This window comes from Homo sapiens, chromosome 10 (assembly GCF_000001405.40).
Source record: "Homo sapiens chromosome 10, GRCh38.p14 Primary Assembly".
Lineage (NCBI taxonomy): Eukaryota > Metazoa > Chordata > Mammalia > Primates > Hominidae > Homo > Homo sapiens.
The window spans coordinates 87659626-87684227 of NC_000010.11; the positions used below are offsets into that span (position 1 = coordinate 87659626).

Here is a 24602-nt window from a genome sequence, read left to right on the forward strand (position 1 = left end):
GCGTGCCATCTGCCGCTCCGCTGCAAGGTCTCGCCCGGGACCGGGGCTGGCGGAGCGCGCGCCCGCGAGTAGGGGCCGGGCCGGGGACCCCGCCTAGGCGGCGGCGGCCGGGTCCCCAAGGCTGGGCGCTGCTTGCGGAACCGACGGGGCGGAGAGGAGCGTGGCGGGAGGAGGAGTAGGAGAAGGGGGCTGGTCAAGGGAAGTGCGACGTGTCTGCGGAGCCTTTTTATACCTCCTTCCCGGGAGTCCGGCAGCCGCTGCTGCTGCTGCTGCTGCTGCTGCCGCCGCCGCCGCCGCCGTCCCTGCGTCCTTCGGTCTCTGCTCCCGGGACCCGGGCTCCGCCGCAGCCAGCCAGCATGTCGGGGATCAAGAAGCAAAAGACGGTAGGCTTCCAGGCGCCGGCTTCCCTCCCCGCCACCGCACTGCACGCGCCGACCCCCAACCCCCAATTCCCCGGCACTTGGGTCCCACCCTCCCCGGGAGGGGGCGTCGGGAGGAGGAGTAAGAGTGGGGCACGGAGGGAAGCAAGAGAAAGAGGCTCTGTGTGGAATTCCCGGGGCAGTCCTCGCCCCGCAGCCCCTCTCCACCCCGCGACTCTGGGAATCTGCGCTCCTTGGGGTCGCCGCGCCCGCGAGAGACCTCCCGAGCTTCTCAAGTGGGTCCGGATCTAGATCCAGGACCAGGGACAGGAAATCCCCTTTCTTTCCCAAGAGCTCTTCCAGACCCGCCTTTTCTTCTGTAGGGTCTCGGAGCAGATCGAGCTGACTCCCGTTCTGCCAGGTCTGGTCGCTGGGGTTTTGTCTATGGGAACTTCCTTGGAGTGGGCTTTAATGACGGACTTTCATAGAGGAAACTGCAATTATCAAAGCAAACTGGAGGAAATTGCATTTCTACACTGGCGGGATTTAGCCCTCTAGCTTGATTTCGGCATTGGGTGGCATCTCGAGTTCAGTAATGAGGGGTGAGGGTGCCCCTCGGTTTGGTGGAGTAAGATGAGGGGACTGTGTTGAGGAGGCACACTTTTACCCAGAATTAATAATCTGAGCTGTCCTCCTTTAATGGGAAATATGAGGGCGTGTCAAAGAGAAAAGTTTCTTTCCCAGCAACATGGGCACCTATAAATTTTGCATTCTTAAAAATGGCAGCAGTTCTATTTGTCAATTATACCCCAATAAACTGAAAAAAAAAAAAAAAAAAAAAAAAAAAAAACCGGGAGCAGTAATCATAGACTCTTAGAGTTGGATGGCGCCTTCTAGACAGCACTGGGGCCACGTCAGATGTGGTCAGCAAGCCTTGATAAAATCCTACTCAGCAGTTTGGCCGCTGAACATTCTATCTTCAGCCACCACCCTGCAAGCCTCAGATGATTGTACTGGTTACTGAATGGGTTGACCTCTCTCTAGTAGATAGACGTGCAATGGACACATAGTAGGTGCCTGATAAATGTTTATTCTTATATAATGTGTATTACCGAAATATCTTTGAGGTGTATTTGTGGTGGGCCGGGGAGAGGTTTAAAAAAAAAAACAAAATATAAAGCCAAGAAGTGGGGAAGGAGTGTGGAGGGGCCATGCAGGGCTAGAAGGGTCATTTGAGCAGCAAGAGAACAGGGTGGGGGCTCTGTGGCTCCAGGGACCATACTGGACCAGCAGGAGGGTCCAGGGTGTAGGTGGCATCAATTTGGGAAGGGACATTTATCAAAATCCAGCTGCCTTTCTCAGGAGTAATTTTTAAGTGGGGGACTCTCAGCGTTGTAACATATTTTTGAAATAATAAATGAAAATCACTTGTATTTTGTTCCTATTTAATGCGATTAATTTCTGTAAAATCCTAAATAGTGTCTTCTAAATGGCAAGCCGCTGTGCCAGTAGCTTTTTATATCAGTGGGGTTTTAATTCCCACCTTCCTGCTTGCATCAAGAATTCCTTCTCAGTTGTGATGGGGGACTTTGTCAAGCATTAGAAAGGGACGAGGTGGTCTCTCCTCTTGATGCCTCCAGTCGGCAGGAGCCCAGGAAGAGGAGGGTTTGAGAACAGGGTCATTACAAATCAATTGCGGGGGCTCTGCACAGTCAGAAGCAGTGAGAAATTTGAGGGCCGGAGGGTTTGGTTTTTGTATTTACACATTCTGAACCTTCTATTTTTTGTTAGGTGGGTGTATGTGTGTGTCTGTTTTATACAGCATTAAATTAACTCCTGAAACAGCTAACTGAAATAGAACTTTTCTGAATTTTGATTTAGTCTAACGCAGTTATAACCCAGGCACCAACCCAAGTTCCCAAAAGGGCTAGATAGGTACTATCGGTACTATTTACAGCAAGCCAGCTGTAAATGCATGTGGAATCTCTCAAGCTTTGAATGTTCATTCAAAATGTGTTTTGAAACCTTGCAGGCCAAAGCAAAATCTGTCCGCTTGTGTGACCTCTGAACTAATCAATTGTTTGATAAGTATTGCTGACCTCACAAGCTAGCCTAGGAGTGAGACTGAGCTGATCTTTTACGGTCTTATAGGAATCATCACATTGTTTACTGCACTGTCAACAGAGGACAGTTAATTCACACAGCAGCCACTACAGTAACTTCAAATATTTGTTGAGCACCTACTGTATGCCAGGTGGTATACTGGGTGGGGGAGGCGGAAAAGGAGATACCTCTTTTCCAGGTTTTTTTGGCCACACTCTCTGGATGAATATTGCCTTTCAGTTCAGACCACTCTAGGAAGAGGAGATAGTTTTGGTTTAAATGAGAGAGTGTAGGATGACTTTTTCATAAGCTTTAGAAAAAATAAATTAAGTGTTCTTTTATAAAGGAAGGTAGCACATTCCTTCTGTTTTATGCATCTTTACCATGGAAACCAAAGAAACAGCTACCAGTCACATTCATCCCTTCATCATTTCCACCCCTCACTTACCTCCAACCCTGGCTACCCTCCCACCCCCACCCCCTATACACACACATAGACACCTAGGAGAGGGAAAGGGACAGACTGCCTCTAGGGGACTGGAAAGAAGGGAAGGCAAAGGCCTGGGCCTTTCCTCTTACATCATTTCCTGGATTAACATTTTTCAAGGCCCACAGACAGTGCTGTTATGTTCTGGAGACACCCAATCTGAAAACATTGACTGAGATATTAAGTTATTTCCGAAGGATCAAATAGGAAAACAATTGGAAAGGAGTGAAAAGATACTGAAAACCACAGCGCTCTCCATAGATGTAAGGGATTATCAACCTTTTCCTTATTTATTTTCTTTCTTTCTTTTTTTTTTTGAGACAGAGTCTCACTCTGTCACCCAGGCTGGAGTGCAGTAGCGTGGCATGATCTCAGCTCACTGCAACCTCCGCCTCCCGGGTTCAAGCCATTCTCTTGCCCCAGCCTCCCAAGTAGCTGGGATTACAGGCACCACCATCATGCCCTGCTAATTACCTTTTCCTTATTTTCAGAATTGTGCACAGTATAACATTATTTTTCTAGAAGTAGCCACTTTTTTTTTTTTTTTTTTTTTTTGAGATGGAGTCTCGCTCTGTCACCCAGGCTGGAGTGCAGAGAAGCGATCTCGTCTCACTGCAACCTCCGCCTCCCGAGTTCAAGCAATTCTCCTGCCTCAGCCTCCCGAGTAGCTGGCACTACTGGTGTGTACCACCACGCCCAGCTAATTTTTGTATTTTTAGTAGAGACGGGGTTTTGCCACGTTGGTCAGGCTGGTCTCGAACTCCTGACCTCAGGTGATTCACCCACCTTGACCTTCCAAAGTGCTGGGATTGCAGGCTTGAGCCACTGCCCCCAGCCAGAAGTAATTACTTTTAAAACTATATAAAGACACTACCGAAGGCAAGACATGAATTCTAGATGAGCAACTACTGGAAGGAGGGACAAAAAGCATTTCCTAGAGGCCAGACACTCAGACATCTCATCCCCACAGTAGCTCTCATCTCAGGAAACAGCTTTGTCTTCAGGGGAGGAGAAATACCAGGGGCAGGGCACTACTGAAATTCAGGTCTGTCCAGCTTCAAAACTCATGCTCTTGACCCCCTCCGTACTTCTGTTTCAGGATGTAACTGCTCTGGCCCAAAGTTTTCTCATCTGTAAAATGTGGGTAATAATAACTTTCCCCTTACAATTGTCGTGAAAAGTAAGTAACTCCTAAAAATTGTCTTGCTCAGTGCCAGACCCAGAGTTAGTGCTTCATATGCAGTAGCTATTTCATTTGTATTAAACTATACTGTCATGGTTTGGCATACATAAAAAGAAAAAACAGCACACATCATACTGTTTTGAAGACTCAGTAAATGACAACAGCCAGAATATTTTTGTTTTGTTTTGAGACAGGCTGGAGTGCAGTGCTGCTATAATGGGTCACTGCAGTCTCGACCTCCTGGGCTCAAGTGATCCTCCTGCCTCAGCCTCCCAAGTACCTAGTACTACAGGTGCACACCATCATGCCTGGCTAACTTTTAAAGTTTTTGTTGTTGTTGTTTTGGTAGAGATGAGGTCTCACTCTGTTGCTCTGGCCAGTCTTGAACTCCTGAGCTGAAGAGATCCTCCTGCCTTGGCCTCCCGAAGTATTAGGATTGCAGGCTTGAGCCACTGTGCTTGGCCAGCCAGAATATTTAATAAGGAAAAACAAATGCAGAAATATAGAGGTGACAATTTGAATTCTTATTGTGATAGGCTGGATAGAAGACACTGGTTGACCTCTGGTAGAGGTACCAGAGTATCAGTGAGTTTTTGCCAACAACTTTGGCCAAGAAAGATAATCCATGCATAGAGTAAATATTGGACTAACTTCTCTCCACCCTTCCTGTGCCTTCAACTATTCCTATGTGCACCTTAAAATTAGTGTTTCCCAATTCATGCCATCGCCATTTATTAGATCATCTGTTTGGACTTTGGTGCGGTTAAAAGATAAATGTGGTTAACTCAGTTATATGTCTCTTTGAGATAGTTATCTTTGTCTTTTATCACTTTTCTGTTGATGCATGTGGCTCTGTGGTTTGCTGAGGGGATAATTAGGCTTACCTCTAACATGGAACTTTTAGGGAATTAGAGTCTGGGAAAGGCATCAATGATGTCAATCTCAGTCCTAGGAGATTTCTGTTTATTTCAAAATCTATCACTAAATAGTAATGGGCACTCATTAGTCTTTGTGTTTGGAAGTCTTAGGAAAATGCAGAAACTAAAGGTAAATAAACATAAATATAACACTAGTTCAACTGTTCTATTAGCCCCTAGGTGATTTGTTCATATGACACTTGGAACAGCTTATATGCCCAGCACCTGACAGTGATCCTGGCACAGATTAGGTGTTCAATATTCATTGAATAAATGAATGAGTAAATGGCTAGAGAATTCATTAGAGGATGTATTTGCTCTTAGGATCCACATTTTTTCCTAGATTCCTCACTCTCCCCTCTTCTCTTTGTGTGCTTGGTTATTTTTGACTGGGTATTTGTCATTACTGCTGAAAAATTGCTTGTAGAGATTCCTTCAGGCCTAGGATGAATGACTTTGTTTTCAGAGAGGATTTGCTTTTGTTTCTGCCAGGTGTCTGGCCCCACTCCTAGCCTAGGACTCCTTTAATTGAATTTACCACTTTTTTTTTTTTTGGAGACAGAGTCTCGCACTGTCACCCAGGCTGGAGTGCAGTGGCGTGATCTCAGCTCACTGCAAGTTCCGCCTTCCGGGTTCACGCCATTCTTCTGCCTCAGCCTCCCGAGTAGCTGGAACTACAGGTGCCTGCCACCACGCCCGGCTAACTTTTTGTATTTTTAGTAGAGACGGGGTTTCACCGCGTTAACCAGGATGGTTTTGATCTCCTGACCTCGTGATCTGCCCGCCTCGGCCTCCCAAAGTGCTGGGATTACAGGCGTGAGCCACCGTGCCCGGCCTGAATTTACCACTTTTTAAAGACTTAGGTGATGTGAATTTGGATTGCTATTTTGCACATGAGAGCCAGCTTGTGAATACAACTTCCCAGGGACCACCCTCCCCTTTTATACTCACTTTCTATGCCAAGACAATTGTCCTTGCCGTCTCTCTGAGTGGGAGGTAGGTTTATTCTGGTTCACCCTTATTTTTAGAGTGTAGGGTTTAGGAGCCCAGCTTAACTTGAGGAAGACCTTTTTTTATTTTCACTTGAGTGGGTTCTGGGCTTTAATTTCTGTTCCACCTCTCTCAGTGAAGCTGTCAAAATCAGTTCATGTATGCTCCTCTCAGCAAATATGCCCCATAAGGATAAAAGTGCCTCTCTGCTTACTTATCTCTTTGAGTTCTTGCTTTCTTCCAGATTTTGGCCTAGTAGTTTCTTCCTATTTTGTCAGCTATTTGTTGTTTTAATTTTTTTTTCTTTTTTTTTTTTTAGATGGAGTCTTGCTCTGTCACCCAGGCTCAAGTGCTGTTGGCGTGATCTTGGCTCATTGCAACCTCCACCTCCCAAGTTCAAGCGATTCTCACGCCTCGGCCTCCCTAGTAGCTGGGGTTACAGGTGTGCACCACCACACCCGGCTAATTTTTGTATTTTTAGTTGAGACGGGTTTTCACCATGTTGGCCAGACTGGTCTTGAACTCCTGACCTCAAGTGATCTGTCTGCCTTGGCCTCCCAGAGTGCTGGGATTACAGGCATGAGCCACCATGCTCATCCTGTTGTTTTAAATTTGATTATTTTATGTTATTACTAGCATTTATAGTTATTTTCAGTGGAAGCATCAATCTGAATAACCTACCCATCACTGCTGGAAACAGAGACCTCTACCCTTTCTAGATTCCTGTGAATCATTAACATCTCCTATCATACCTTACCAGACCTGTGTCGCTGTCATAAAAGGAGTACTTTTTAAACATGAACTCTAGTCAGATAGCTAGTCAAAAATCTTTGATTTAATCCTTTTTCCCTAGGATGTGCTACAGTGTGGAGTGGGGAGTGCTCACCTTGTCTTGGTGGTCTCTTCCTATGCAGACATCCTTAGAGATGTGCATTGTCCTGTCCAATCCTTAGTGTTGGTCCAATTTCAAGTGCGTTCTTGTCTGAAAGGCCCCTTCAATTTAAACAACTCTCCTTACTTCTTTCATGCTCTCCTGGGTACCCTGAGGCCGTTTTGTTGCTCCAGCACAACTCTGAGGTCGTGGGGTATGAATTTGGTGGGACTAGTTAAGGTCCTTGACATGTCCCCACTACTCCCAGGAGTGTAGGAACTAGGTTCCTACTTTGCTGTGACCATGCAGGGACTTGGAGGAGCTCTGGGGGCTGCTGAAACCCACCCTCTTTTCCTCTGAGATCAGAAGCACATCCAATGCCCTCTGCTTTCAGAGCCCCCAGGGCTATTTGGCCTCCCTCTTCCCCAAGCTCAGCACCAGGGGCAGGACACTACTCCCTGTTTCAGACTCAGACTGGTACCCAAGCTTGCTTTGCTTCTCTTTTAATAAAGATTAAAGCTTTCCCAAAAGGTTAATTGGTTTATCATAAGCATTGAATTTGTTATAAATTTTGTCTTCTTGTTCCTTTTTCCTGTCTTTTTGATCACCACATTTTTGAAAAATTTACAATAAATTGGCTGGGTGTGGTGGCTCATGCCTGTAATCCCAGCACTTTGAGAGGCTGAGGTGGGCGGATCACTTGAGCGCAGGAGTTTGAGACCAGCCTGGGCAACATGGCAAAACCTTGTCTCTACAAAAATGCAAAAAATTAGCCAAGTGTGGTGGCGCGGGCCTGTAGTCCCAGCTATCTAGGAGGCTGAGGTGGGATCGCCCCAGTACTGGAGGTCAAGGCTGCAGTCAGCCATGATCATGCCATTACACTCCAGCCTGGGTGACAGAGTGAGACCCTGTCTCAAAAAACCTCAACAAAACAAACAAACAATAAATTGGTGCACAAGATGAAAATATTTTTTCTCTGTACAAAAGAGCCACTGTATTAAAACTTGAAATATAAGTTGCCTCTGATGACACGTGGTGTATAAAATGGATTCCATCAGTTGACTGATGTGACTTCCTTTAAAATCTTATCAGCATCCCTTTCTGCATTTCAAATTTACTACTGAAGTTGATTTTGCTGTAATTGATATTGTGCAAGCACGACTGTAATATAAACATGACAAACTCAATCTGTATACCATCAAATATTAACTTTTGGCAATAAATGCATATAGCCTGTGACAATAAAGATTTTTTAAAACAGTTACATAAATATATTATGTCAAATGCTGCATCATTCATAGTGATAATTTCTCTGCTAGTCAATATTTGGTTTAAATGTCTAGTTAACACCTGCTTTATGTTTTATTATTGATTTATTATGAAAAGTATTGATTTTTATCCACCAAGCATCTATATCCAGTCTCATACCACAATTACTTTTTTAAAACAATTTTATGTTGGGTGTGTGCTTTTAAAGACATTTGTAGACTTTATGGATTTAAACTACCTGGAAGAAAATCCGAGATTCTATCCCTATAAACTTTATTCTTCTACACCCTCCTCCAGTCATTATTAATTTATGAATAATTCATGCCTTCCCAATTTCCAGCAAAGTAAGCAACTCAAGCATTAGTGATGATTTTATTTTCATACATTTGCTAGTGTTAAAAACCTGAATTAACTTTTTGGCCCTCTGCTGGGGGTCCCATGTGTATTACTTTGTTTCCTTAAGCTCTCTAAAATCCTTTCCTTTTTCAGTTCCTGTCAAAATCCTCACGTATATATTTGTTTACCTCACTCACTCAACAATATTTATTGAATGACCAAACCAGGATCTCTATTTGTCATAATTAACAATAGCTACCAAAGCCTTATATTCTTTAATTATAGTTTTTAGTCTATTCACTGTCTTTAAGTCTATTCTAAACACAGCATTTGCCTTTTCTAATTGAAGCACTCCACCCGCACCTTTATATTATCAACGTTCTGCCCAGTAAGTCTTGCAGTGGCCTTGAGCTAAAAGCAATAAAATTCCCAATTGACTTTTCTTACATTTCCTCATTCATTTTTCTACTAAGTTGAACATTATTTACTCTATATTAAGGCTGTCTCTACTTTAAAAATGTGTGTGTGTGTGTGTGTGTGTGTGTGTGTGTTTAAAAATAATTCTAGTATTTTACTTCTGGAAGGAAAATTAGGAGGTCACCTTTAAGCTCTTTATATGACAGTTGATATACAGCGTTAAGAGCTGTGCCAGGATCTATGGCCATTCTTTGGCTTGACTGGGTGGGGATACTTCCACTAAGCTAGAACTCTGATCACCCTACCACACGCTTACCACTTCTCTCTTTATCACGTGCTCTTTGAAAGTGACCCTGCCTATTTTCTACAGCTTTATTTCCTCTTTCATTCAACAAGAAATATTTTCCATAAACAAAACTTCCTCCCAGTTGGTTTATTACATTCTGACTTAGCTTTAGCATTTTGTTGTGGCATTCTGGGGACAGAAAATACAGACCAAAAAGCAGTATTTGAAAGATGTAACTTGACCGTTTTGAAATATTTTTGATTGGCCGGACTGTTTCTCTTTAGAAAATTCAACCCTTTCCCACCTCACTCAGTCTTCCTTAAACCTTCTCAAGTGGTTTAATTGTTTTATTAAAAAAAGGGATGCCATTGATTAGATAGCATGCAATGCAGAAAAAGTTGTATTTGGTAAAGGCTGGACCAAGTTCAGTTATACGCCAAAGCCTCAGTTCAGTTTTACCTCTAAATCTATCCATTTCCATTGCTTCCTCAGTTCGCAAAGTACTATGAAGTCGATTACAGTAACCATGTGTGGTCTTCCCAGGACCTAAATTGCTGACTCCCAATAGAGAGTGTTTTCCTAAAGTATATGAGTAATTATGGCTCTTGGGCCATTGGGTCACTAGTACAACAATGTTTTGAGTAGTTACTAAAAAATAACCAAATCATAACTAAAATAATTTTTCATTTGACCTTTAAGTTAGCCAACAGAATAAGAAGACATCAAATAAAGCCTAGACATTAAAATTCCGATTGTGGAATGTGCGTTATTTATCTGAAGTTTCTTTTTTTAGAGCATGTGTTGTTAGAAAATTCCTACTCTGTTGTATTCTGTTCATTGCCACGATTTATTGAGCACTGACCTGTAGGTTAACTCATTGACTCTTCACCATCTCGCGAAGCAAGTTTGTGAATAAATAGTCCAAAGGGAACTCATTTAACTGAAATGGGTCTTTAAAGAGTTACCCAAAGGAGAAGTTAGAATCTTATTAGCTTCTCTGTAGTTAATAAGATGTTTATTTCATAGAGGCAATGACACTTCATGCCATGTAGCCAACACAGCTAGATTAGGTAACTAGTAATGTATTACTGCTTCATTTGTAAAATATTCTGGCAGCTGTCTACTGCTAGTATCTCAAGATAATAATAATGAATTCTATTGAGAAGCATTCCCCAGCACTTTTATTAAAAAAGAGTAAGTGGCATAAATTGGCAAATACATGTTACCCTCACTATCACACGCATTTCTTTCTTTATGGTAACATAAGGTGAATAATTGGAAAATAAATTTTATTTGTTCTCAGACTCAACCTGTATGGGTAATAGTTTTTATTGCCTAGCCTTACGGCTATGTCAGTATTCAGCAAACGTGAACAGAATAATTTGTTTCCACTAGCTGCAATACTTGAACCAAGTTGTAATATTAATATGATTTGTAGATAATAAAAAAGAAAGTAGAACACCAGTGCATTTTTCACATAAAAATTTGACCCAGTTCAAGGTCGACGCTTAAGGATGTTGTCAACCGATCAATGAGGAGTGCCTAGAAATCATGGGATTGTAAAAGGTATGTTCCTTGGTGTTTGGAAGAAAAATTAGGGAGCGTTGTCTCCTTCTAACACATAGGTAAGGGAAGTCCAAGTTTTTCAGCAATCCTGGGCTAGTGTTTCAGCGATAGGTACTAGGAAGGTTCATATTCCCATTCTCAGGAGATGATTGCATAAAAAGATGGAGCACACACACACACACACACACACACTCATGCTGAGGAGAGCAGCATTGGCTGGGTGTATTTCAGGGGATGAAATTGAAGTCTTTTACTGGAGAGGAGCTGCATTATTTAAATAAAAAGAATCATGGTGACTGCATAGAAGTTGAATCACAGAATTTGTGTCTTCACAGTGGGATACAAAATTCTGTCTAAAGGATGTGTTGTCTCTGCACAGTTAGTCACATTTAGGGAATGGAAAAATCTGGGTCATCAAAAATACCCAGTTTCTTCCATTTTCTTCTCAGTGTTGAGGCTGTGACTCAAAAAGTCTCTTACACATCACACTGTGTTATTAATCCTTGTTGTCATAATAACATCCCTTGGGATTCAGGAAGGCACCTTGTGTACCCAACAGGGTTCCCCAAATAGAAGAAGGGAACAAGCATTTATCCAGGGACTATCCATACAGTATCCCATCTCATCCTCACAATAACCTATGAAGTAGTTCTTATCCCTGCTTTACAGTAGGGAACTCTGAGCTTGTAGAGACTAAGTAACTTGCCTCAGGATGCATAACCCTAAGTGGCAGAGCTGGAACACAAGTGCCATGTTTTCAATCATTCTTTTTTTTTTCTTCAGTTAAAATAACATATAATGGATACTATGACTGTGAGAATGCAAAAGGATCTTTTGATTATTTAAACATGCATTTTAATTTTGTCTTTGCAGACTAAAAGGATGATGCAGGCGCTTTGAAAGGGATTTCCTTAGGGGCTTTTTGTAATGTTGTGTAATCTTTAGAAGATGTAGATTTTAGCAAATGCTGTTAAAAGGCAATAAATGTTAGTTTGGATGAGGCTCTGTGGCCAGTTTTAGGAACAGTAGTCTTTGGAATTGAACCCAACATTTCACCTTAAGAATACAAGGCTTCAGTGTTCTAGTGGGTGAATGCATACACTCAAGAATAAGTGATTTTAGAAATAATTGCAGTGACTTACACATAACTCTACACCCAGCCTTGTCCATTATGTGAGTGCTGCACAGTCGAGCATTCATGAGTTACAAGTTCCCAAAGCCCCACAGGCTATGGGCCTGTTCTCTGGATGTACTAGAGGTTTCATCAGCATTTCCATTGCTCAGCACAGAATGTTAATATTTCGTGGTTCAGGGAGATTGTTTTATATACACAGCCTAATAACCAGAACCAATTGAGAAAAAAATATAAAGAAAATACAGATAGGTAGCAAAGTACAGCCTACAGTGGAACACCAACAGGGCTAGTGTTAGGAGGGGCAGCTGAGACCTGGGTTGAACACTGTAATTGTGTGGCTTTGAGCATCTTCTGATTGAAGTTACACATTTCAGGAGACTCAATTTTATGCACGTGGTATTGCCATAAGGGTAATTGCTACCTCCCTGTATTATAGCGGAGTTCCTCTGGGCATGCATAATACCTTTCTTTCATCATGCTCATCAAGACTTATTCATACTTTGTTATCAATTATCCTAGTAGCTCTACATATTAGGTAGTTACAAGTATTACAAATCATAGATTAGGCCACTAACATAAAGAAATGAGGTAAATTCCCTGCAGTCTTCTTGTGGGGCCATGTAACAGTAGAGACCACTTGAGTTTGCCAAGTTTGGTGGCCAAGTCCCATGTTTTGTCTGAGAACAGACAGAGGCTCAGGGATATTGGGATGATATTTGGTATGAAGGGTTTCTTATTTGGACTGCACCAAGTTAACTGTGTGCTGTGAAACATTATATGGCTTCATTTTCATTGGGAGAACTAGTGATATAAATGATGTAACGTGAACTAAGTGATTTAGCTAATTACACATATTTTTGGATGCTTCTAAAAAACTAATATGTGATCCTTGGAGTAGAGGAAGTTGTACATTCAAGGTTTTCTACCCTTTTTGTGTGTGTTTATTTTAATGAGGACAATGGGAACTACACCATTTCTTTCCTGTTAGTTCATCCTGGATTACCTTTTTATATCCATTAAACATAGAAATTCTGAAGCCATGTCTGCCTACATGTCATCCTGATTGCCTTTGTGTATAATTGCAGATCAAATGTAGAAGCAGTGACTACTTAAAAAAAAAGTTGTTATAGACCAAGGCTTGAGGAAAGAGAAAGGTACAGTGACAATGAGATATCTTGGGGGAAATTTGGTCCCGTAGACCAGGGGTTAGCAAATCATATCCTGTGGGCCAAACCACAGTCACCTGCCTGTTTTGGTAGGCCTATAAGCTAGGAATGGTTTTTACATTTTTTTAAAAGACTGATGGGGAGAAGTGAAAGGAAAAATTATATTTTGTGTTATGACAAGTATATGAAATTAAAATTTTAGTGTCTATAAATAAAGCTTTCGAAACGTACCATGCTTATTCGTTTACACATTGTGGCTTCTTTTACAGCAAGGATGGGTATTTCTGTGTGGCCTGAAAGGCTGAGAATGTGTACTGTCTGATCCTTTAAGAAAAATTTGCCACCTCCTGTTATATATAGTGGGGGCCAGTGTTCAGTTGGAAGATGCTTAGGCCCATGGCCTGTCAGCGTGTAACTCTATGTGTCTGAATTCAGAGAGCTGAGTACTAGCTGTACTTCATGAGCCCCATTGAATTGTGTTTGTTGTATTGTCATTGTTTTGTTAAAACATTATTTTTTTAAAGTTCTGTGGAACACTAGTGTGTCTACTGTAATGATATTATTCAGATTATTTATTAATTAGAACATTCCCTTTATAAATATCTCTGGAATTTTCTTTGTTTTTGTTTTTGTAGAGATGGGTCTCCCTATGTTGCCCAGGCTGGTCTTGTACTCCTGGCCTCAAGCGATCCTCCCACCTTGCCCTCCTAAAGTGCTGGGGATTGCAGGTGTGAGCCACTGTGCCAGCCTGGGATTTTCTTCATATTCTCTTTATAAAAATTCATAGAGAGACATTTCTGTCTAGTTTTACTACCAGAAGGGTTATATTTTTCTTAGCTGTGTGTGTGTTTGTGTGTGTATGTATTCATGTGTGTGTGTGTGTGTGTGTGTGTCTAATTCCTTTGCGAATTTTGGGACCATCCAGGTTTTCCCCCTCAAGATGCCTGCCAGAAAGCTCAGAAGTGAATTTTTGGCTTACTTTTTTTTTTTTTTTTTTTTTTTTTGCACCAGCTTTATGCTTGGTACCACTTCGTTTTATGCCCCTGGGTTGTTCTTTCCTTTTTCTTGTCCACTTCTGATTCATGAGTTTTTGCTATGCTTTATGAATCTTCTAAGTCACTGAATACTTTTAGGAACTCTACAGAACATTAAAATATAAAATTAATAGTAAGACATATCTGAATTTTTGTTCTAGAAGGTCCCAGAGCTCTCCTTTACCATTCTACCTCAGAGAGCCCTTTTCCTTCTGCATGTTATCTTGGGACTGTCCAGGGCTCTATGCCTGCAGGGCCTAGAGCCAGTCCATGAAGTGCTCATTGAGTGCTTTGTGGTCTAATGTTCTACCCTTCCTGCAAGCTTACAAATCAACCCCTTCAAGACTGATAAAGACAGAGCAGAGGTTCTTTAGTATCTAGAGTCCCCAGAAGTCAGGAAGGTTGTGAACTTGGATGGGTAAAAAAAATTTCTGTTTTGAGATGAAGTCTTGCTCTGTCTCCCAGGCTGGAGTGCAGTGGCACGATCTCGGCTCACTGCAACCTCCACCTCCTGTGTCCAAGCGATTCTCCTGCCTCAGCTCTCTGAGTAGCTGGGATTACAGGCACGTGCCACCACACCCGGCTAATTTTTTATATTTTTGGTAGAGATGGGTTTTCACCATGTTGGCCAGGCTGGTCTTGAACTCCTGGCCTCAGGTGATCCTCCTGCCTAGGCCTCCCAAAGTGCTGGGATTACAGATATGAGCCACTGCTCCCAGCAGTAATTTTTTTTTTATAACTTGTAACAGAAATTTGGCATTTTCTTCAATTATGAAGACAGGCAACAAACCACAGCAATATTAGCAATACTTGTGACTATGTCACCAGTAGAAACCACAGATACTTTAATATCAGATTATATCGTTGCAGATATTGCAAAATATCTGTGCTTTTTATAACTAGAAAATTAAGATCTATAAAAAGATCTATAAAAGAGTTATAAAAATACTTCAAAATTAAGATTATAACTGTCTACCTAGACAGATAGTTCTTGTTATTTAATACATTGCTAAAGAAGCATATTTATTACCGTGCTATAATTTTTAAAAAGCATTTTGTTACCGTAATTCTTTTTCTTTTATTGGCAATCCTTTGTGTTTTATGCATTTAAAAACACTTTTCTGAGAGGGGATCCATAGGCGACCATAGGGGTTTTTGACTCCAAAAAGGGTAAGAAACCTCCATGCATGGGTGTGCCCACATGCATGTATGCACACACAGACACAGATACACAATTTTTACATATGGTTTCAAGGAGTTACAGACTCCTCTTACAAGACCCATATCTAGGAACTGCAGTTTAAGATCTTATGCCCTGTTGGCTAAAATTCAAAATAGCAGGCCCTAAGAGGGACGGCCTTTATTTTGTCTTTTTAAAACACTATTCAAATGAATCTTTTCTAGTAATGACTTACAACACCCTCTTAGTCATAGCATTAGCACTGGCTGTTATCATTTAGTATTACCTCTTTCTTCTATAAAACAAGGAATGTGTATGTAGTTATGAAATCATTCTCTTGGTTTATACCATATCAACTAGATATTTGTCAGTGAAAAATTGAAAATCTACCTCTTCACCCTCTTTGAATTGTAGTTTGCATTAAAAAGATTCGCATATTTGAATTTTCAAAACTTGGTATGTGTGTATTTTGTAAGTTTGGAATTGGATAAAAATTACAAATATTATAATAAGTTAATGACATAATCCCTTTTGTATTCTTCTGTGTCTTGAGTGGTTTTGTTGCTGTAAGTCAAGCACATTTATTATTCATGTATAGGGGGGCCAAGTTTCATCTGAGAATGTAATTTCATGCTAATAGGTTGCGTTGTAAGTCCCTGGTTAGGATTTACTTATACCTGCATGGGTTTTATGCTTCCCTGTGTTCCATTCATTACGCTGCTATTCTGAATGCATCTCCTAATTTAGTGAGATCTGAGAGCCACCTTAGAGATTACGTAGTCCAGTTTTTCTCCACCCTGCTAAGCTTCACAAAATATTGATGCCTGGACCTCACTCCTAGTGAATATGATTGAATGGATCTGTGTTGGGGAATGGAGGCAGTCTTCAAAAACTGGCTACAAGGTTTCTTGGTTCAGCCAGGCTTGAGAACCTCAGCCTAGCCTAATTCCTTCCCCATGCAAATGAAAGCATTGTAACATGCCTGAGGGCCACCGGCTCAGATGAGTTTTCTCTACTTCAGAAAGCTATTTTCCCTTTCCACATTTCTTTTTTTTTTTTTTTTTTTTTTAATGTAAAGCCATTTCCCAGCCAGTGCAGTCTTCTGTGGTCACTACATTCCTCATGGAATATTTAAAATTAAATATTCCATGAGGAATGTAGCTGGAACGTTTAAAAGCTTACTATCCTTGTCCTGTTTTACCGTTACCTAATGGGAAGACAGCTTTCTGGAAAAACCTGAAGACCATTCTTTCTTAGTGAGCTGTTCTTGACGGTGGTGACTTTATCTTTGGAAATTTGCCCGATTCCCATATCACAATTAAGGAAGTGGCTTAAGAAAGTAGCTTGTAATTCTCTAGAGTGTAAGTCTCCAGATCTCACTGTTGAACTTTGTATGTTCCAGTAGGACTAAATCTAAAATAATTTCCTTGTCACATTTGATAGACATGAGTATTAGGGACCCACATTGGAAGAACCCTCCAAAAACGGACCTGTCTTTCCTTTGTGAGTTTTCAGTGTAATTCTAGCATTTCTGGGAGAAATATGTAAGTACCTCAAGGGCAGAAATCCTGCCCACTTAAATGTTTCATAATTATCACCTAAAACTTAGAATGGATCAAATTAACTAATTAGCTTTGTACCTTTTCAACACAAGCTAATAGATTGCCTGACTTCGTTTATCTGATCATGAATTTTGATCAACTTTATCTCATTAGGTTTAAAAATTAATATGTTGCGTTATATAGCACTTATCTTTACAGAGATTATTCATCTTCAATGCAATAAATAAAAGAAAAGCCAAGCCAGGTGTGATGGCACATGCCTGTAGACACAGCTACTTGGCAGGCTGAGGTGGGAGGATCACTTGAGCCCAGCGGTTCCAGGCCTGCAGTAAGCCCAGATTGTGCCATTGTACTCCAGTCTGGATGACAGAATGAGACCCTGTCTCAAAAAAAAAAAAAAAAAAAAAAAAAAAAAAAAAAAAAAAGGCCGGATGCAGTGGCTCATGCCTATAATCCCAGCACTTTGGGAGGCCGAGGCAGGCAGATCACTTGAGGTCAGGAGTTCGAGACCAACTTGGACAACATGATGAAACCCCATCTCTACTAAAAATAAAAAAATTAGCCGGGCATGGCAGCACACTCCTGTAATCCCAGCTACTCCAGAGATTGAGGCAGGAAAATTGCTTGAACCCGGGAGGCAGAGGCTGCAGTGAGCTGAGATCACGCCACTACACTCCAGCCTGGGCAACAGAGCGAGACTCCATCTCAAAAAATAAGATAAAATGAAAAGACAGATATTTAATGCAGATATCTAAGCTTTAAAAGATTGGATGACTCAAGCCAATGGCAATTCTTTTTTTCTGATTTACAGTTGTGTTTTTTTAAAGATGGCAACTTTGTTTTACTTTCTTCTTCCTTCTATATTATTTTGAAGTGAATTTGACTGCAAATATTTTGAAAAATATATGCCCCTATGTATTGAATCTAAAAAGCAATTACAATTTGTCCTTTTCCTCTAATTCTCCTATGCAACTATCAGAATGGAAAATAAATTTCAGGATACTTTTGGATCAAAAATGACAGAAATCAAATTGCTTGACATCTAGTAACCAGAGTGGACATGAAAGAGGAGTCAATTCTACAGCAAGCCCTGTAACCAGCTCCGTGCAGGAGAAACATGGAGAATTAAGACAATCACCTCCCTCTAAGAAGCTTTGTGTGCTTTTCCCAGATCTTCATTTTCATAGGCAGTATGATTTCAAAATGTTGTCCAGTAAAAACTCTTTATCAAGTTATAACTGGAAAGCTACCCACTATCTCTTTATATAATGACAGCATCCACTATGTAAGATTTATATTACATGCATGCGTGTGGAATGTACTTTGAACCACTCTCTAACTATGATCATAGGTCAGTACCTGCCAGAGAATGGAGATTTTTAAAAATTGTGATCACAGATTTGAGAATATAATCTTTTTAAAAAAGATATGCTTAGCCTTGTAAATAAAGATAAGCATTTTAAGAATTTATTTTATAAAGAAAAGGTTTGATGGAGCAAAGATTTAAGCATTGAGAAACCCATAGACCTACAAGAAAAAAACATGAATCTTATATAATCACAGAATGGGGAAGACCACTTCTAAGTATAATACACATTCAGATACTATAAATTTTTTTGAATATAAAAACTTTTTTTTCCCAGAAATAAATCTGCATCTTTATAGCCAACTGATTTTCTACAAAGGCGCCAAGACTATACACTGGGGAAAGGATACCCTCTTCAATAAATGGTGCTGGGAAAATTGACGATCCATACACAGAAGATTGAAACTGGACCCCTGTCTCTCACCATATACAAAAATCAACCGAAGATGGATTAAAGATGTGAATATAAGACCCCAAACTTTAAAACTACTAGAAGAAAACACAGGGAAAACACTTCAAGATATTGGTCTAGGCAAATATTTTATGGTTAAGACCTTAAAAGCATAGACACCTAAAACGAAAATAGACAAATTGAACTATATTAAACTAAAAAGCTTCTGCACAACAAAGGAAACAATCAACAGCATGAAGAGGCAACCTGTTGAATGAGAGAAAATATTGCATACTATCTTCTGACAAGGGACTAATATCCAGACTATATCAGAAACCCAGCAGCGTAAAAAAAAAATTCCATTAAAAAGTGGGCAAAGGACATGAATAGACAATTCTCAAAAGAAGACATGTAAATGGCCAACAGATATGTGAAAAAATGCTCCACATCACTAATTGTCAGGAAAATTCAAATCAAAACCATGAGATATTACCTCACCTCATGTAGAAGGGCTAATATGTAAAAAGACAAAAAAAAAGTAATACTGGTGAGGATGTGGAAAAAAGGGAATTCATACACTGTTGGTGGGAATGTAAATTAGTAAAGCCACTGTGGAAAACAAATGGAGATTTCTCAAAAAACTAAAAACAGAACTATGATACAGTCCATCAGTTCCACTACGGGTATCTATTCAAAGGAAAAGCAATCAGTATATCAAAGAGATACCTACATTTACATGTTTATTGTAGCACTATTCATAATAGGAAAGACATGGAATAAACCCAGGTGTCCATCAACAGGCAAATGGATAAAGAAAATGTGGTATATGTTTACAATGGAATACTATTCAGCCATAAAAAAGAATGAAATCATGTCATTTGCAGCAACATGGATGCAACTGGAGATCATTATATTAAATGATATAATCCAGGCACAGAAGGACAAACATTGCGTGTTTTCACTCATATGCAGAAGCTAGAAAACTTGATATCATCAAGGTAGAGAGTAGAATGATACATACTAGAGGCCGGGAAAATTGGTTAGGGTGGGGAGATGAACAAAGATAGGTTAACAGGTACAGATACAATTAGATAAAAGTTATAATAAGTTCTATCGTTCTACAGCAGAGCAGAGTGACTATAGTTAGCAACAATGTATTGTATATTTCAAAGTAGCTGGAAGTGAGGACTGGAATTGTTCTCAACACATAAAAATAATAAATGCACAAAGTGATAGACTCTTCAAATACCCTGACTTAATCATTACACATTCTATGCATGTAACAAACTACCACATGCACCCTGTAAGTATGTAAAATATAATATATCAATAAAAAGCCAAATATTTTAAAAATTACATGCCAATTTTTTTTATGTGTGTTAAAACAAAAGTCAAAAGACAAGCGAAAACCTAGGGGATAATTTGTAACTCATAGGAGACATAGGACTGTTTTCCAAAATATATAGAACTCCTATAAATCAATATTTTTAAAAATCAGCAGGTCTGACACAGTGGCTCATGTCTGTAATCCCGGCACTTCAGGAGGCTGAGACAGGTAGATTGCTTGAGTCCAGGGGTTCGAGACCAGCCTGGGCAACATGACAAAACCCCATCTCTACAAAAAATACAAAAATTAGCCAGGTATGGTGGTGCGTGCCTGTAGTCCCAGGTACTTGGGAGGCTGAGGTGGGAGTATCGCTTGAGACTCGAAGGTCAAGGCTGCAGTGAGCCACCATGATCGTGCCACTGCGCTCCAGCCTGAGCAACAGTGAGAACCTATCTCAAAAAAAAAAAAAAAAAGTCACTCTCATCACAGTCTCCACTGTTGTAATGGTCCACTGTCTGCAAGGACAAGTTATTGATCAGGAGGATTTCCAACCAAGAGCGAGAACCCAAACAAATTAGCACAACTCATCTTCTGCTTCTGTAACAAACAAGTTGTCCAGTTGTCACTTTGGGCACTAAAGAGGGACTTACTCTCAGATTTGGGAACTAGACCCGTTACTATTTTCTTTAGCACTGGAGGGAGCCTTCCTTTATTTGGTCTCACTCTAAGTTGGTTTCACACTGAAGTCAATTTTAAGTCTGTGCTTTGCAAGTATGAATTGAAAATGGTGGTGTGGGGTGCTTTCTTGGCTTTGGCACCTGGATAACAAAGTTCCCCAGGAACAAGCTTTCATTCATCAATGGAATACACTGGATTTCTGTCTTACAGTTCAGGGTGGGCCAGAAGGAGCCATGGTGGGTCTGTAGAGGGATGAATTAGCATCCTGTTAGAAAGGTGCTGGGTCCCTCCTCAGTCACTTTGAATGCTCCCTGTTTTTGCAGCAGTCATGACCCATATTTTTAAACTTTTAAAGTATAAAGTCCATACAGAAAAATATATAAATTTTCAGTGTGCTACTCAATGAATTTGTGTGATGGTATTTCAGGTAGTATTCTGTTTTCTAATCTGTGTACTGGAACACACTTTCATAACTGGCACACAGATTAGGAAACAGAATACTACCTGAATCCCACAAATGCCTTCCAGTCACTACCTCCTTCTCCTCGGTAACCATCCTGACTAATCTTGCCGGTTTTTGAGCTTTTAGAAATGGAATTCTACGTTATACAATCTTTTGTGTTTGGTTTCTTTTGCTCCGAGATGTATTTGTGAGAGTCATTCATATTGTTTGTGTGCAATTGGAATTTGTTCATTCTCACTGCTATATAGTGTATTCCACTGCTGGAATAATTAAATATGTGTTTCTCAACTGGGGGTGATTTTGCCCTTTGAGGGACATTGAGCAATGTCTGGAGATCTTTTTCTAGTTGTTACAACTCACAGTAAGGGAAGCGGGTGTTGCTGCTATTATCCTACAATGCACAGGACCACAGGACAGCCCTCCAACACAAAGAATTCTCAGGTTCAAGACATCAATAGTGCCAAGGTTGAGAAACCCTGCTGTACATAGCGTTGGATCGTGTGAATATACCACCATTTATTTCTCTGTGTATTTCTTAGAGCCTCAACTTGAGCATTCATGAGCATAATGCAGCTCAGCCCTGGCTTTGAAGTTCTTGAAACCATGCTTACCACCATCAGAATAAAAAGACTATCAAACAGGAGGAGTTTTAAATGTTTACAATAACTGTTAGAGTCAAAATACACTGTCATGTATAGCCTTGGTCATAGACAAAAATTGTACATTTTGGAACTACTACAAGAATTTGAAGAGGTTTTAAGTGAGAAAGTGAAATGGGCTAAGTCAAGGTTTTCATCAAAGAATGAAAAGACTTTTCTTAGAAACAGCTTTATTGAGAAATAATTTATATACTATAAAATTCACCCATTTTAACTGTACAGTTTAAAGATTCCTAGAAAATTTACAGAGTTGTACAACCATGATCACACTCTAATTTTAGAACATTTTCATTACGCTAAAAAGATCCCTGGTGCCCATTCGCAGTCATTCCCATTCCTACTCCAAGTTCCGAGAAGCTACCAGTCTACTTTCTGTCTCCTGATAGTTTCCTTTTTTGGATGTTTCTTATAAATGGAATGATAAAATATGTGGTCTTTTGTGACTGGCTTCTTTCACTTAGCATAATGTTTTAAGATTCATTCATGTTGCTGCAGGTATCAGTACTTCATACTTTTTATGGCTGAATACGATTCCATTGTGTGGGTATACCACATTTTTTATCCATTAACAGGTTGATGGACATTTGGGTTGCTTACAGTTTGGGGCTATTATGAAGAATGGACATGAAGAATTTTTGAAGCGTGGCTAGATAAATGGTTAGCACAAGTAGGCTTTTGAAGAAGGGACATGATTCTGGGCCAGATGACTTATTTTGTTTAGAGGAATAATTTGAGTGATTGAAAAAATAGAATACGAAGGGAAAAGGACAAGAATGGCACAAGAAGTATTAGACTTACAGGGAAAGGAGATCTCTGACATTTACCCATACAGACCCTAGTATTTCAAAGGCATTGTATAGCCATGCCGGCTAGGCTATAGAGCAGCAAAGGTCTACAGAGGAGCAAAGGGTAACATCCCACTCTCTTCCCCAGTCTTGCAGGCACAAACGCAGTTGGCATAGCCTTGAGGCTGATTTTTCCAGATGAACCAGGAAGACCCTTGGTTTTTGGCAGATTTAATAACCAACATTCAAACAAGGCACTTTAAAAAATCTACAATTCGAGAGGATTTCCTGGCACTATATAAAACCCCTTCCATCAATGGGAGTTGTTCTCCCTTCTTGAATTGGAGTGTTCATTAAGTCCATAAAATGGAAAGCACATGTAGGATAATAACACAGATATTTTGTGTTAGAGAAAAGTTATGAAGCATGGCATCGAAAGAGGTTAGAAAAAAAAAATTCACTAAAAACAATCATGAAATGGTAAAGAAAATTCCCATCCTCAACCCATCTGCATCAAATGAAGATGCTGCTGACAGTAGATATTAAAAGAGATGTTGAACACATAAGGTCCAGGTGGCCGCAATGCTTTCCTTTTATCCCTTCCTACATAGATAGATGGAAGGGACTCGGCACAATAAAAAGAAGGAGCATGTAGAAAAACATGGGCGATTTGAGACCTTCCAAGGCAGAGCAGGCCAGTAAAGGTGAAGCAGCTGGAAGCCTTTTTTCTCCACCAGGAAAGGAGGATAGAGAGCAAGGGAGGTTTTAAGTGGGAGATGCTGCGCGTGCTTTCCCCATAAATTCTGAGGGCAGTGCACAGTATTCCAAGTTGTGTAGCTTCTCACATGCAAGCTAGGCCCAGAACCACTTGAGTTCACAACTATTTCTTTCTTTTTCTTTTTCTTTTTTTTCTTTTTTTCTTTTCCTTTTTCTTTTTTCTTTTTTTTTTTTTTGAGACAGAGTCTTGGTTTGTCCCCTAGGCACTGGAGTGCAGTGGCATGATCTCAGCTTACCACCATCTCCCTCTCCCGGGTTCAAGCAATTCTCCTGCCTCAGCCTCCTGAGTAGCTGGGACTGCAGGTGTGCACCACCTCACCCAGTGAATTTTTGTATTTTTAGTAGAGACGGGGTTTCACCATGTTCGCCAGGCTGGTCTTGAACTCCTGACCTCAGGTGATCCACCCACCTCAGGTGATCCGCCCACCTCAGCCTCCCAAAGTGTTAGGATTACAGGCGTGAGCCACCGTGCCTGGCCCACAGCTATTTCTTGAAAATGAGTTCAACAATGTGGACCTTCTGTGTGTGCAAGGGAATATGCCTTATATTCATCCTCTATTCTATCACCTGACAAGAACGAAACAGAGTTCAATGGTCTAAATTTGCATTCACGTGCAGGGTTCCTAGAAATGATGATCCTGCATAATTGTTGTGGAAATCATTTGTCTTCTATTGGATTCATGAAGGCTTAAACACATGGTCAGGGGATCAGACTCACTAATAGCTCTTTTATGTTTCTTCCACTTATTGAGATAAAATCTTTTTTTTTTTTTTTGAAACAAGGTTTCACTCTGTCACCCAGGCTGGAATACAGTGGTGTGATGATGGCTTGCTGCAGCCTCAACCTCCTAGGTTCAAGTGATCCTCTGGCCTCAGCCTCCAGAGTAGTTGGGACCACAGGTGCAAACCACCACACACACTTGGCTAATTTTTAAAATTTTTGTGGAGATGGGGGTTTCGCTATGTTGCCCAAGCTGGTCTTGAACTCCTGGCTTCAAGCGATCCTCCCACCTTGGCCTCCCAAAATGCTTGGATTACAGAAGCGTGCCACCACACCTGGCCTCAGATGAAATATCCTGCATTTACTCCATACTAGAGAAAAATAGAGACGTGACATGTAGCCTGCATAGCTTTTTTGAATTCTTTTACAATCACTCTGTACCAGTACGTGTTGTCAACAAAATGCAGCAAAATAAAGAGTTGCATGATAATTTTAATGCATGACCAATGAAGATTGAAGCCAGCCTGTTGGGTTAATCCTGTTTTGTTTCAATCCTAGTCTTTCCCCTCAGGAG

The 24602-nt window shown here is 40.6% G+C and overlaps 1 protein-coding gene across 2 annotated transcripts in view, besides 1 other annotated feature; it reads left to right on the forward strand.

Annotated features, from left to right (window-relative positions):
• Window positions 1-240: a silencer, noted in NCBI's record as "silent region_2583". NCBI's record gives its function as "represses an Ori minimal core promoter by ATAC-STARR-seq in GM12878 lymphoblastoid cells {active_cell/tissue: GM12878}" and the evidence as "EXISTENCE:reporter gene assay evidence [ECO:0000049][PMID:35858748]".
• Window positions 253-24602, forward strand: part of PAPSS2 (3'-phosphoadenosine 5'-phosphosulfate synthase 2) — an 87828-nt gene continuing 63478 nt past the window's right edge. For both annotated transcript variants that reach the window (NM_001015880.2, NM_004670.4), the window contains exon 1: window positions 253-383. In NM_001015880.2, coding sequence (NP_001015880.1) covers window positions 357-383 — 27 coding nt within the window. In that variant the 5' untranslated portion in view covers window positions 253-356. The remainder of the gene's footprint in view (window positions 384-24602) is intronic.